The following is a 12615-nucleotide window of genomic DNA, read 5'->3' on the forward strand; positions in this document are numbered from 1 at the left end:
AGAAAACTCCCTTTTTAGTGATTTCAGACATCAGTACCACAATGGATGGCTTAACTGTGAGTGAGTTTGGGACACTGTATGCAGTATGAATTTGCAGGGAGGGCAGTGACCAAACTGTCCCCCTGGCCAGCCACTGGCCTATGCAGCAGTGTGGTGGGTGGGGTATGCAGAGGGTATGGCAGCTGACTTGATAATTCCACCTCTCACTGTCAAAACCACTTCAAGCTGGCCAATGATGACATCTCTGCATAAAAAGTCACATTATTTTATATTTTAGAAAATAGGGCCTTAAAAGCTTGCTCTAGGTATATTTCTTGCCCATCACAAATAACTGTGCAATGGGGAGCTACTCTGACCTAGAAGCTAGAGCTGCCTATTAAAATGTAAATTGTTATTTCAGAAATATGTGGGGACTTCCATGGCGGGTGTTGGGGAGAGAAGGTGTGCATGTGTATGCGTGTGTTTGTGAGAGAGTGAGACAGGTTGTGGGGCCTTCACATGTAGTGTGCATTGTAAATTATAAGCCCTCAAGCGGGGTAATTTCTTCATACCAGGTTGCGATGGCTATAGCGAAGTTCCCTGGGGGCTGCTTTCTATCTCTTTGGCTTTCTTGTCCCTGAGGAGTGGAAAGATGGCCCTTCCAAGGGATGGTGTCTGCAGGTGGGGAGTGATCGTTTCCACACTGGACAGCTCACATAGCCAGGAGGGGTAGGGCAGCCACCTCTCGTCCGCCTCAGTGGACAGGGCCCAGAGAATGGGCAGTGTGCTGCAGCAGATGGGCTCACGTGGGGCATGTGGAGCTCAGCAGTTGGGAGGTGGAGCAAGTCAGCAATGGTTCAGGAAACCAACTGTCCCAGCTACTGGAGTAAGTGCAGATTTCAGAAGTCAGGCCAAGCAGGGGGTCAGAAAACCAAGACTACACTTCAGCAAAAGATCTGCTAAAAGGGATGAAAATTAGCAAAGGAGATTTTTTAAAACTAGGGAGTTCATAAAGTGGAAGGTGCAAATATAAAATGGAATAGAAAAATGAGGACATTCATGTGGTTCATGAAAGAAAATGTAAACATTAAAGCAAATTCTCACCCCATCTTCAAGGATATGTGGCCTTTGGGGCAGAAACCAGTCGTTGATGCTGTAAGTGTAGGGACAGGCAGTGGAGAGCACCTGTCTAAGCTGGGGGAGAATGTAGGCAGGACCAGGGACAGCACAGACTGCCCTGGAGGCAATGGGCTCATGTTAGTAGAAACTGCAAAACATTTGCTGTCAGCCTGGCTTGAGGCCAAAGAGCAGGATATTTGTCTGCATGGCAGGATTTAGGACAAGTTGGAAAGGTCATTTTGTCAGTCTTGGAGTAAAACCAGGATCAAATTAAAACATGATTGTTAGGCATGATTTGATGAAAAAGGTACTGTGTGGACAGAATAATGACCCTCTGTCAAGATAGCCACACCTTAATCCCTGGAACCTGTGAACATGTTATCTTACATGGAAAAGAGGACTTTGAAGATGTGATTAAGTTAGGAGAGATTTGAAGATGCTACACTGTTGGCTTTGAATATGGAGGAAGGGGCCATGAACCAAGAAATGCAGGCAGTTTCTTGAAACTGGAAAAGGCAAGGAAACAGATTTGTCCCTAGAGCTTCCCGTGAAAGCATAGCCCAGCTGACAGCTGGATTTCAGTCCAGTGAAACCCATTTTGGACTTCTGACCTACAGAACTGTAAGATAATCGGTTTGTGTTGTAAGCCACTAAATTTGCGATTACTTGTTACAGCAGCAATAGATAACTAACACAGGTACCAGTTTCTTCTGAGATACTCATTTCTTCAGTTTGCTGTAGAAATTTAATCTATAAATCTTGTTATTATAATTTGGCACATGTAGCTGTATTAATAACATTCCATTTAAAGAAGGTTTTATGTTTTTCAAAGAGGTAAAGTCATGCTTCTTTCAATTTTTGTCAAAAGTCGCCTATATCAAGAGATATTGTGTGCTCCTCAGAGGAATCCGATTGTGGCCATACCACCACCTGTTGGTAACACAGTCTTCATTTCAGGAAAATATCTAAGGAAAGCACAAAGCACATCAGGAGCAGTGCAACAGAAAAACACTAAAGTAAAAAGTAAAAGGAAAGGAAAAGAAATATCATACCTTGACATGAAACTGTACCTGATCGTTTGGTGGGTCATTGACGGATTTTATAAATATTGCATGAGCCTAGTACACTTTTAGAAAACAGCTTCTCTCCCTCTCGGGTGTATACAGAATACTGTATGCTGTTATTTCTGCAACATCATCTGATCCTTCTTATTTTTTCAATAATGTATGAATTATGTATCTGTTTGGTTTCAGCTTTGTCACTAAATATGAAACTCACCGCTCCCTTCCCCCAAATCAGAAAGAAAGATAAGCTCTAAAAAAAAGTTTGCAGCCAAAAAATATTGAGGGAGCTCAATGCATGGAAATATATATGCACCTTCACAACAAATCCACACACAAATATAGATGTGCATCTTCTACCTTCTTCCTCAACCCAGAGCTGTTTTTGACCCCGTTTGGAGTTATCTGCACACAAGCTGGAGAGAGGGATGCAAACTGCTTGCCGGTTGTTGTTTCTATGGAAACTGGCAGAGACAAAAGGCCACAAAAATGAAGGAATAAGATGACATCTAAGGATTCAAAAACAAAACAAAATGAGATTTTCTTTTCCTCTCTCCACACTGTGCTACTTTAACTTAGTGAGCGCTTTGGTTTACTGAGCCGGGAAGGTGTGGGGAGGAAAATGAGAAGGAAAAAGAGCAAGGATTTCTCTTCTGCCCAGTCCCATTTTACCTAAGGGGTTTCTCTTTGATTTCTCATCACCTTTTCTCTCCTCCTAAAAAAGAAAAGCATCAACCCATCAGTCTGAAGGCAGCACACTCATCTCTCATTTCTCTCTGAGAAAGGAAGTGTGCTGATTTCAGCTCCCCCTGAGGAAGATCCTTCTAAACCACGGACCGACCATCTTCTGACTGTTTTTCGTCTTCACTGCAGACAGGCAGTGGCTGGGAGGCTGCTTGGGATGACCACTAAGGGCTCTGCCAACTCTCCTGTCTAGCAATTTAGTGATTAATCATTTTAGTCATTTACTTAGAAGAAATGGGACTGAATTTCAAATGCATCTCCTTTTAACTAGAAAAAAAAAAATTATGGCAAAGCTCATGTCTTGAAAAGCCCAGAAATCTTCCCTGGCCTTTCCATTAGCCCTGTTCTACCTTGACCTGGGACACTTCCTACACTTGGGGCTCCAGTGACTTTTTCCCACTTCAGAAATTAGTTTTGACTTCTCCAATGTCTTCTAGTAGGAATGTACAAATTACGTCAAAATACAACTTTTTTTCTTTTTTGAGACCGAATCTCATTCTGTCACTCAGGCCGGAGTGCAGTAGTGTGATCTCAGCTCACTGCAACCTCCGCCTCCTGGGTTCCAGTGATTCACCTGCCTCAGCCTCCCAAGTAGCTGGGATTACAGGTGTGCACCACCACACCTGGCTAATTTTTGTATTTTTAGCAGAGACGGGCTTTCCCCATGTTGACCAGGCTGGTCTCAAACTACTGACCTCAGGTGGTCTGCTTGCCTCTGCCTTCCAAAGTCCTGGGATTACAGGCATGAGCCACACCCGGCCCAAAATATAACTTATAAGCAAAGTGTTGAATAAAAGAGCAATAATGGATCCTTCAGTATCATTGGTTCTAACCTTCCCGATGTGGATAAGTGAATCACTAAAGTAGTATTTCTCAAACTGGATCATCTAAGCCATGATAGGTGGAATCCTTTGTTAAAAATGCATATTCAAAAAAATTCGTTTTCTCAGAACCCCTTCTCAGACATTCTGAGTGAGGAATCTCTTGGGAGGGGCTGAGGAATTTGCTTATTTTGTCTTCAAGATCCAGCTCCTCCTTCCAGCCGAGGTCTTCCTGATGACCCTCAGGGAGGCAGAAAACTTGGGCTAGGCTCACCTGTTAGGTGGTTGCGTAGCCCTTTGGTTGATAAAGAATTTCTTTAAGGTAAATTTTAGCAAATTCTCCTCCCTTGAACAGAGAGAAGAGCAAGCTGAGTATCCACTTTCACCAGACTCTTCTCACATACGGATAACTTAATCATTCCTGTTTTTTGTTCCGTTCGAGTTTCCGCAGTCAGTGAGGTGTGAAACTCTCTGACCTATCTCATGTCGAGTCAGGCTTCAGTTTCTCTCAGCTTGATTGACTGTTCTGCCCACTGTCGGTAGGTTCTTCAAACCATGAAGTTTTTGTGATGCCTATCCTAATAGAATGCCAACTTCCTGTCATTATTTTGTTTTCCATTGCTCATGTCTAGCTGCGCCTCTTGAAAACATCCTGTACCACTGTTTCTCAAACTTTAGCTGTATGGGACTCACCCGGATGGCTCAGGAGAGAGAAAACACAGATTGCTTGGCCCACCCCCAGGGTTTCTGATTCACTAGGCCCGGGCTGAGGCCTGAGAAGGTTCATCTCTAATGAGCTCCCAAGCGATGCTCACGCTGCTGGTCCGGGGACTGCATTTAAGAACTGCTGCCCTAGACTTCACTCACATCTCTGGACCGTGTAGGTCTGATTCATCCCCGTACCACTCGCCCTTGCATTGCGTATGACAAAGCCATGCACAGTAAACATGTATTTATGCTGAAGCAGACAAATGAAACAGGACACCTCCATGACCTCACCCTAGTCCTGGGATTCTGATTATGAATTTCCTAGCCAGATTATGAGTTTCCAAAGCCAGAGAGGCCTGTGGGGTGGCACTCCCCATGTCTGCCTGTGGCCCATTGTCAGATTCATTTGCAACTTCAGATTATAAGGCCAGATTGGTGCTCAGACTGTTGACCTTCCTGCAGCTGCCTAGTTCAGAATCAGGCTCTTATAGCCACAGCTGTGATGGGAGCACCTTTTTTTTTTTTTTTTTTTTTTTTGTGAGATGGAGTCTTGCTCTGTCTCCCAGGCTGGAGTGCAATGGTGCAATGGTTCAATGGTGCAATCTCGGCTCACTGCAAGCTCCACCCCACCGGGTTACACCATTCTCTTGCCTCAGCCTCCCGAGTAGCTGGGACTACAGGCGCCCGCCACCAAGCCTGGCTAATTTTTTATATTTTTAGTAGAGGTGGGGTTTCACTGTGTTAGCCAGGATGGTCTCAATCTCCTGATCTCAGGATCCACCCACCTCGGCCTCCCAAAGTGCTGGGATTACAGGCGTGAGCCACCGCGCCCAGCCGGGAACTCTTTTTAAGCCTTTGTGCTCTGACTTGGTCTTAGAGAGAACTGTGGGGCTGGCTGCCCAAGCCCCTGATCTCCTGTTGCAACCCAGAGGATCCCTGATCTTGGCCTGTGATTCTCAAACCTCTTTGGGAACAAAATAAAACCACTTATTCATACTGCAGAGGAAAGGACAGCTTGGATTGTGACAGATTTTAAAATACGGAGTATATGAGATATTGGCTCCTCACTATATGCTGATCTAAAATTCTCTGGAATTATTAGGTTGGTGCAAAAGTAATTGTGGTTTTTGCCATTACTTTTAAGGGTGACACAGCTTAATAATGGTTGTATCAACAGCAGCAGCAGTTAACATGGATTATCTCATTTAATATTCTATGCTATAAGGTTTTATGAGTCCCATTTTAAAGATCAGAACAGTGAGGATTAGAGTGATTGAGTAACTGGTCCTTAGCCACAGAGTTCAAGATGTTGGTTTCAGATCTCTGACTTCAAGGCCTGAGCTCAGAACCCCTGGTCCGATAGCCCTTCAGTCACTGAACTTCATCAGATGACATTTGAAGGGATCCAACTAATGTTGAGTTCTGCTTTATAATGAAAAGTTATAAGTTTCTCACACATTTTAGGCACTCTTTTTACTTTGAAATTTTTAAAAATGTAATTTTAAGACTTTTTAAAGCTGGGATTTTAGTTTCTCCCTCCCTCCCTCCATTCCTCCCTCCTCCCTTCCTTCCTTCCTTCCTTCCTTCCTTCCTTCCTTCCTTCCTTCCTTCCTTCCTCCCTTCCTTCTTCCCTTCATCAAAAGACCTCTCAGAGGGAGGAACAAAGTATAAAACAATAAAGATGGACACAGAAGGTACAGCACCCCCCAACACACACACACCAGGCCCCTAGGAATTCAAAAATCAGTTTGAATACTACTGGGGCTTGTAAAGATTTCAAACTTTTGGAACTCAGAACGAGCTGTCTGTTAACTGTGGCTCTGCCACCGGCTGGCTGTGGAAGCTGTGGGAGTAAACCCTCCAGGACTTGGTGGTCTTGGTTGTAAAGTGACAGAAATGAACAGGACCACATCTCTGATGCTACCCATTATTTAATTACTAAGCATGAGTTAATAGCTAACAAGATGTAGTAAAGAAATAGGTTCTACTTTTATGAAGAGATTAAAACTAGTCATAATTAGCATGTCGCATACAAATATGTCATGAAAAAGAGCTTGGAAAGAAATTTTGTCCTAAAGCAAGTAAAAAATTACAGATATATTTCATATATATTGCTACTTTGCTTGGGATACCCCCAACTCTCACTTTTCCATTTATATATTGAAGAGACCTTACGTTTTAACCTAACCCTAGTCAGATTGGAACAAATTCATGATCAATAGTACCAAAGTCAGCAACAGGTTAATTGTCAAAACCCCAAAACTTACAAATAAAGTTAGAGAGGGAGTTAATAATTCTGTGATAAAATCATTTAGGCAAACAACTCGAGATTGATAATATCAACAATTTGAGATTGGTAGGAAAGATTTTTCAGAGAGTTTCTGGAAAAGTAGGGTATCTCCTTCTGCCTTGATTTTGTTTTGGTTTTGTTTGTCCTCATCGTTATAGTACTAGTCTCTTTCTTTGCCAAGCTACAGTAAAGATGGCACCGTTGTAGTGAATGATAGAGTTATCACACAGCAAGCTGTGTTGTGTGCCTCAGGGTCATGTTATCCTTGTTATGTTCAAGTATTAGGTGATTTTGTCATTCTCTTTACCCTGCAATGGGCTTGGTACAGATGGTTCGTGTTTCACAGAAAATGCAAAAGGAGATCTCATGTGAAAACGAACACTTATCTCTCGAAGAAAAAAGTTAAAGAGGTTAGTTTAACTACTAACTCAAATTATAAGTATTTACTAAAAAATGCTTACTGATTGTTTTATACTAACTACCATTTTTAACATTAGACTGGCATTTTTAACTTTTAAACTTTAAGAGAGTTGTTAACTAAATGAGACCTGCAATTTGGGCATGCCGTCACCAGTTCTTATCTTCCACCACCTTATAAGGGACTTATAAAACCTTATAAAACTTTTGTTTTGTGGCATATGATTCAGATCTTATCTATGAAATTTATATTTATTTAATCCTAGTACTTTGGGAGGCTGAGGCGGGCGGATCACGAGAGACCATCCTGGCTAACACAGTGAAACCCTGTCTCTACTAAAAATACAAAAAATTAGCCGGGCGTGGTGGCGGGTGCCTGTAGTCCCAGCTACTCGGGAGGCTGAGGCAGGAGAATAGCGAGAACCCAGGAAGTGGAGCTTGCAGTGAGCCAAGATCATGCCACTGCCCTCCAGCCTGGGCAACAGAGCGACTCCATCTCAAGAACAAACAAACAAAAAAAACCAAAAAACAAACAAAAAAACCTCTTTACCCAAATAGATGAATATAAAAAACAGTAAATCATGCTATAGAAAATTGGATAGAGAAATACTAAAAAATAAAGACCTAGGTGTAATTTTGGACTATTTTCAACAACTTTTACTTCAACCCTGATGTTATCACCAGACTTCCTTCTTTCCTAATTTATCTAAATGTTACCTGGAAAAATTAGCCCCTCTTAGGACAGTACCTACCTTCAGGGCTTGACTTATAGTCAGCTTTGTGTAAGATTTGTTAGGACCTTATAAGTATCATGTGCCCTTACCTGTACTTCTTCCCTATTCTCACTCCAGCCACCTCACACATAGGCAATGGACATATGTGTACCCATACACACTCCACACACACTGCTACACAGACACACACCTCTAATTCTTTGCTTTTTTTTTTGGAGTCCTCATGATTCTCTTCCACACAGAAGGAGAGAAGAAAGAAAGAGCCACATGGATATGTATATACCAACAGTGTGTGGTACACACACAAACACATGCTAATAGGATTACATGTTTTACAATTAGAAAGCAAATTTCCATAACAAAGTAAATTACTCATTGATATAATTTAGCTCTGTGCCCCTACCCAAATCTCATGTGGAATTGTAATCCCCATATGTTGAAGGTGGGGCCTGATGGGAGGTAATTGGATTGTGGGTGTGGTGTCTAGTGGTTTAGCACCATCGCCCTAGTGCTGTCTCATGATGGAGTTCTCACAAGATCTGATGGTTTAAGTGTGGTGCCTCCCCCTTGCTCTCTCTCTCCTGCCATCATGTGAAGAAGGCCCTTGCTTCCCCTTCACCTTCTGCCATGATTGTAAGTTTCCTGAAGCTTCCCCATCATGATTCCTGGTAAGTCTGCAGAACTGTGAGTCGATGACAACTCTTTTCTTCATAAATTATCCAGTCTCAGGTAGTTCTTGACAGCAGTGCGAGAACGAGAACAGCCTAATATACTCATAAAGAAAAGAGAGGTGTGTCTTGCACCATAAGGAATCTTCTGGATCAGGTTCTACTTAGATTTTCCTTCAAATTTAAATGTAGTGTGGAGGAGGGCCATGATATTGTATGCAGACTCTAAAGTTAGGGTGTAAGATCAATCATTCCCTTGGAAATCTTTTTGGGCCATGCCACATTGGAGACAGGCATACAGTCTCTCGGGTCTCCTGGCAGAGCTGGTTTTCCTTTGGTGTGGGAACAGACCACTGTTCAGCTGAACATCCTATGACATAATTGGCTGGCGTTTAGGAGCCACATTGTGCAAAAATACTTATCTTTAAGCACTAGCATCATGCTCCATGTAGCAAGATGCTCGTGGCTGAGGGAGTCATGGTAACTAGAGATGCCTCTGGGGCCCATAGGCTCATGGCCCTCTTCTGGATCCTAGTCTGTCCACACAAGCACAAAGTGTGTGGTCTGTGTCTCTTACTCTCCACATCTCCCCCACCCCCCGTCTGCCTTCTCTGTCTCCTCATCTGTCTCCTTTTCCTGTCCTCCTCACCTCACTTTATTCTGTCTGTACCCCACCTCTCCACTCTGCCGCACCACCAACTGTGGAATTCACTTAAGTAGAAAGTGTGTGTAATGTAATGAATGCGACCTCAGGACAAACAACTGGGACAATCTTGCCTTATCACAGTAGTTACCTAGGAGAGATGATTTCACCAATAGCCTCTGTCATAGAACCTTTCAAAACTTAATTTCCAAAGGTCCACCTCAATGAGTACAGAACAATATTTACTAGCTGGGAGAGAAAAGGGTTTAGACAGATCTAACCACATTTAGCAACAATGCTTACATATGCTTTTGTGTCCTTGTGAGATTTTATCAGCCAGGTTATTTTACTTTATTTTGTTTTGTTTTAGCCAAAATCTTGGGTTTTACGATAGCGGGTTGGTTTTTTATCGTTGTTTCTTGTTGGTTCATTTCCAAATTTCGCAGTTATTTCTTTCTACTGAAAAATAAGGTCACAAAATCAATGAAGCAAAGTTTCCTTTGTAATAAAGCCCAAATTGTGTGACAGTTTTCTAAACTCGCCATTGCAGAAGCTATGTAATGCATTGCATCCAACGTGTAATTCAGATGGACAGGATTCATGTGGTCTTTACAGGGTGCTGGGCTTTTTTGGGGAGAAGCAGCGTGGTGAGGAGGCTGTGAAGGAACGGCATTCCGACTGGGGAGTCAAGTGTTAGAAGAAAGACAGGTTTCTGGAAGAAGGAGACCATCTCTGGGCCATCTTGGCAATTGTAATTTAGGGGGAGAGCAGTCTGAAATTAGTTAATCTAATTTAGACTGTGAGGAAAATGTAGCCATTTAAGAAAGAGTGTGGATAATTTCAGGCTGAAAGCAAATCTTCACCCACAAGAATATCTCCAGTCTAGTTAAGCTAATGAAACCTTAACTAGGTTACAAAGAAATCAGAATACAGGAGTTTGAAATGGACCTGTAAAGAAAGGAGGCAATTGTAATTAATGTGTATTACCCTGAGTGGACGGCTGATTTTGTCTGAAAAAGGATATCTTTAGTCTAGTTAAGCTAATGAAACCTCAACTAGGTTACAGAAAAAATCAGAGCATTAGCGAGCAGAACTGACAGTGGAAGCTGTCAGCATCCTGTTGAGAGTGACTGGCGGAGCTCATGACAGAGTGACTGGCGGGGTTCATGACTGGGTAACGGCGGCAGGGTATCGCTGATTGACAGGACCATGAAATGTTCCCACAGTGACTGACATACAGCAAAGGAAAAAGATCAAGAAATAACAAATAATATAGTTTATGTATATTTTGTTATCTTTCCACTAGACTTTTCTTCTGCACTTTATTTAGTAGCTAATTGATATTGTTATTGGTTCATAAATAAACAATCCAGCTTCTTTTACTTATAAACTAGAAGTGTTCAGTATTTTTAAAGTATTCTATTTCTGATTTATATATTGAGTATATTTATATAGTATTTATTTGTACTGATATTTCCTTTCTGTATTGAGCTTGCTGGAATGTTCAGATTGTCAAAAGACACTATGTATATTTATATGCACATTAGTCATGGGAGTAACCTACAATCTCTGGGTGGAAAAAATGACCGATGGATCATCCTAAAAGCAGACGTATTGCAGGAGAAGATAGACAGGAAAGGGGCCCAGACACGCTTTAGATCAGGCTCTGGAAACCCTGAGATGGATGGGTTCACATTTAGATATTCAACATGCGTATTTTGAACTCTTGCTGTGTGCTGGATCTGTATGAGGTGCTTGGGTTGCAGCAATGAGCAAAACAGACAAAGATCCCTGTATTCAGGAGCTTGCACTCCAGTGATGGAGACAGAGAAGCAATAAACAAAACAAATAGGTCAATTATCTGTTATGGCAGAAGGCAATCGTTTCATGGAACAAAGGAAAGATTCAGCAGAATAAGGGGACAGGAGTGCCAGTGGTTGGATCACTGATTTTCTTAAAGAGGGGAAGAAGCTATAATAACAGTGTCAAGGCCTTTTAATTCTTGGGTGAGGTAGGGTGGGCATGTGCTGGATAGGAAGAACAAGGCAGAGCCAGGGCAGAATGTAGTGTTAAACTGCATGGTCAGGGTAAGCCTCATGGAGAAGGCAGCCCCCTCGTTGTTTATTTACTGAGTTCTCACTATTTGCTGAAACCCTGAGGAAGAATCCATGCATCCATCCATGCATCCATGCATCCATCCATCCATCCATCCATCCATCCATCCATCCATCCATGCATGCATCCATCCATGCATCTATCTGTCCATCCATCCATCTATCCATCCATCTAGTAAGATTGAGTGCCTCCTATATGCCTGACACTGTGCTGGGCTTGAAGTTACAGAGATGAATAAGACACAGTATCTACCTTCCAGATGTCACAATGAACCGAAAAAACACAAGAAAACCAGTTGATTACATTGTAGAGCTCTGTCTTCTAGTGTCCTTTCATTCAGGCCCAGCTGAACTCTTCCTTCCTTCACCAATGAGGCCTTCTTTGACCATCCCATCGAGAAAAGCCCTCTCCATGCCTTTCTAATCCTTGACCAGGGTTAATTTCACTCTATGGTATATATCACTCCTGGCATCGTAACATGTTTATTTGTATTTTATCTTCCCCCACTAGAATGTAAGGTCTGAGAGGAGGGACATTGTTTTGTTCAGGGCTGTATCATTATTGTCCGAAACGATACCTAGTATGGAGAAGATAATTAATATTTGTTGAAAACATGAATAAATAAATGAAGTGCTATAAAAGAGGGATATATTAAATATGGTGCTGCTGACCTTGTATCTCCTAACATAGCAGTGAGCAGAAAAAGCAATATTCACATAGAATCTCCTGGGAACAGTGTAAGGGAGATGATTAAAGTAATGTTATTATAGTAAGAAAATGTAATATATGTTTACCAGGTTAAATTTTTTAATTTTAAATTACAAAATATTTCAGACAAACAGAAAAGTGCATCAAATGGTCATATATACCTTTAACGTGTATTTTTGTTTTCTTTTTCTTACATACACACACACAAAACAAAAGACTTCCCTGAAGGTTTTATAGTGCTTGATTCCCGTGATTCAAAGCAGCAATACTTAGTAACAAGCAGCCCTTGATCACTTAAAAACTATAGAAGTCGTGTCTAAAGAGTCAAAGAATAACCCCTATCCCTGGCTTGGTGAAACTGTACCTGGGGCCCTCCTAGAACACATGACTTGCTCATCCTCTGGCATTCTTATTAGCAAATATTACCTCCATATGGATGATGGATGGAGTGCTGTGCAGCAGGAAGTGATGTTAGCAGTGTGACAACTAAAACTCAGTGTCTTTGGAACTGATCTCCTCTGAAGCACTGATCTCCTTTGATGTAGAAAGCCAAGGAAGAGTGTCTCACCTATTCCTTTTCCAAAGATAGTCCATCTTTAGCTTTTGCT

At 42.0% G+C, this 12615-nt stretch overlaps 1 protein-coding gene across 4 annotated transcripts in view, besides 1 other annotated feature; it reads left to right on the top strand.

Annotated features, from left to right (window-relative positions):
• TMEM178B (transmembrane protein 178B) overlaps positions 1 to 12615 on the top strand; it is a 437233-nt gene that overhangs the window by 264517 nt on the left and 160101 nt on the right. The window lies entirely within an intron of this gene.
• Positions 3402 to 3609: a silencer, noted in NCBI's record as "fragment chr7:141041782-141041989 (GRCh37/hg19 assembly coordinates)". NCBI's record gives its function as "represses an EF-1alpha promoter that drives an FKBP-Casp9 reporter gene in an ReSE screen in K562 erythroleukemia cells {active_cell/tissue: K562}" and the evidence as "EXISTENCE:reporter gene assay evidence [ECO:0000049][PMID:32094911]".

The sequence above is a fragment of the Homo sapiens genome, chromosome 7 (genome assembly GCF_000001405.40).
Source record: "Homo sapiens chromosome 7, GRCh38.p14 Primary Assembly".
NCBI lineage: Eukaryota > Metazoa > Chordata > Mammalia > Primates > Hominidae > Homo > Homo sapiens.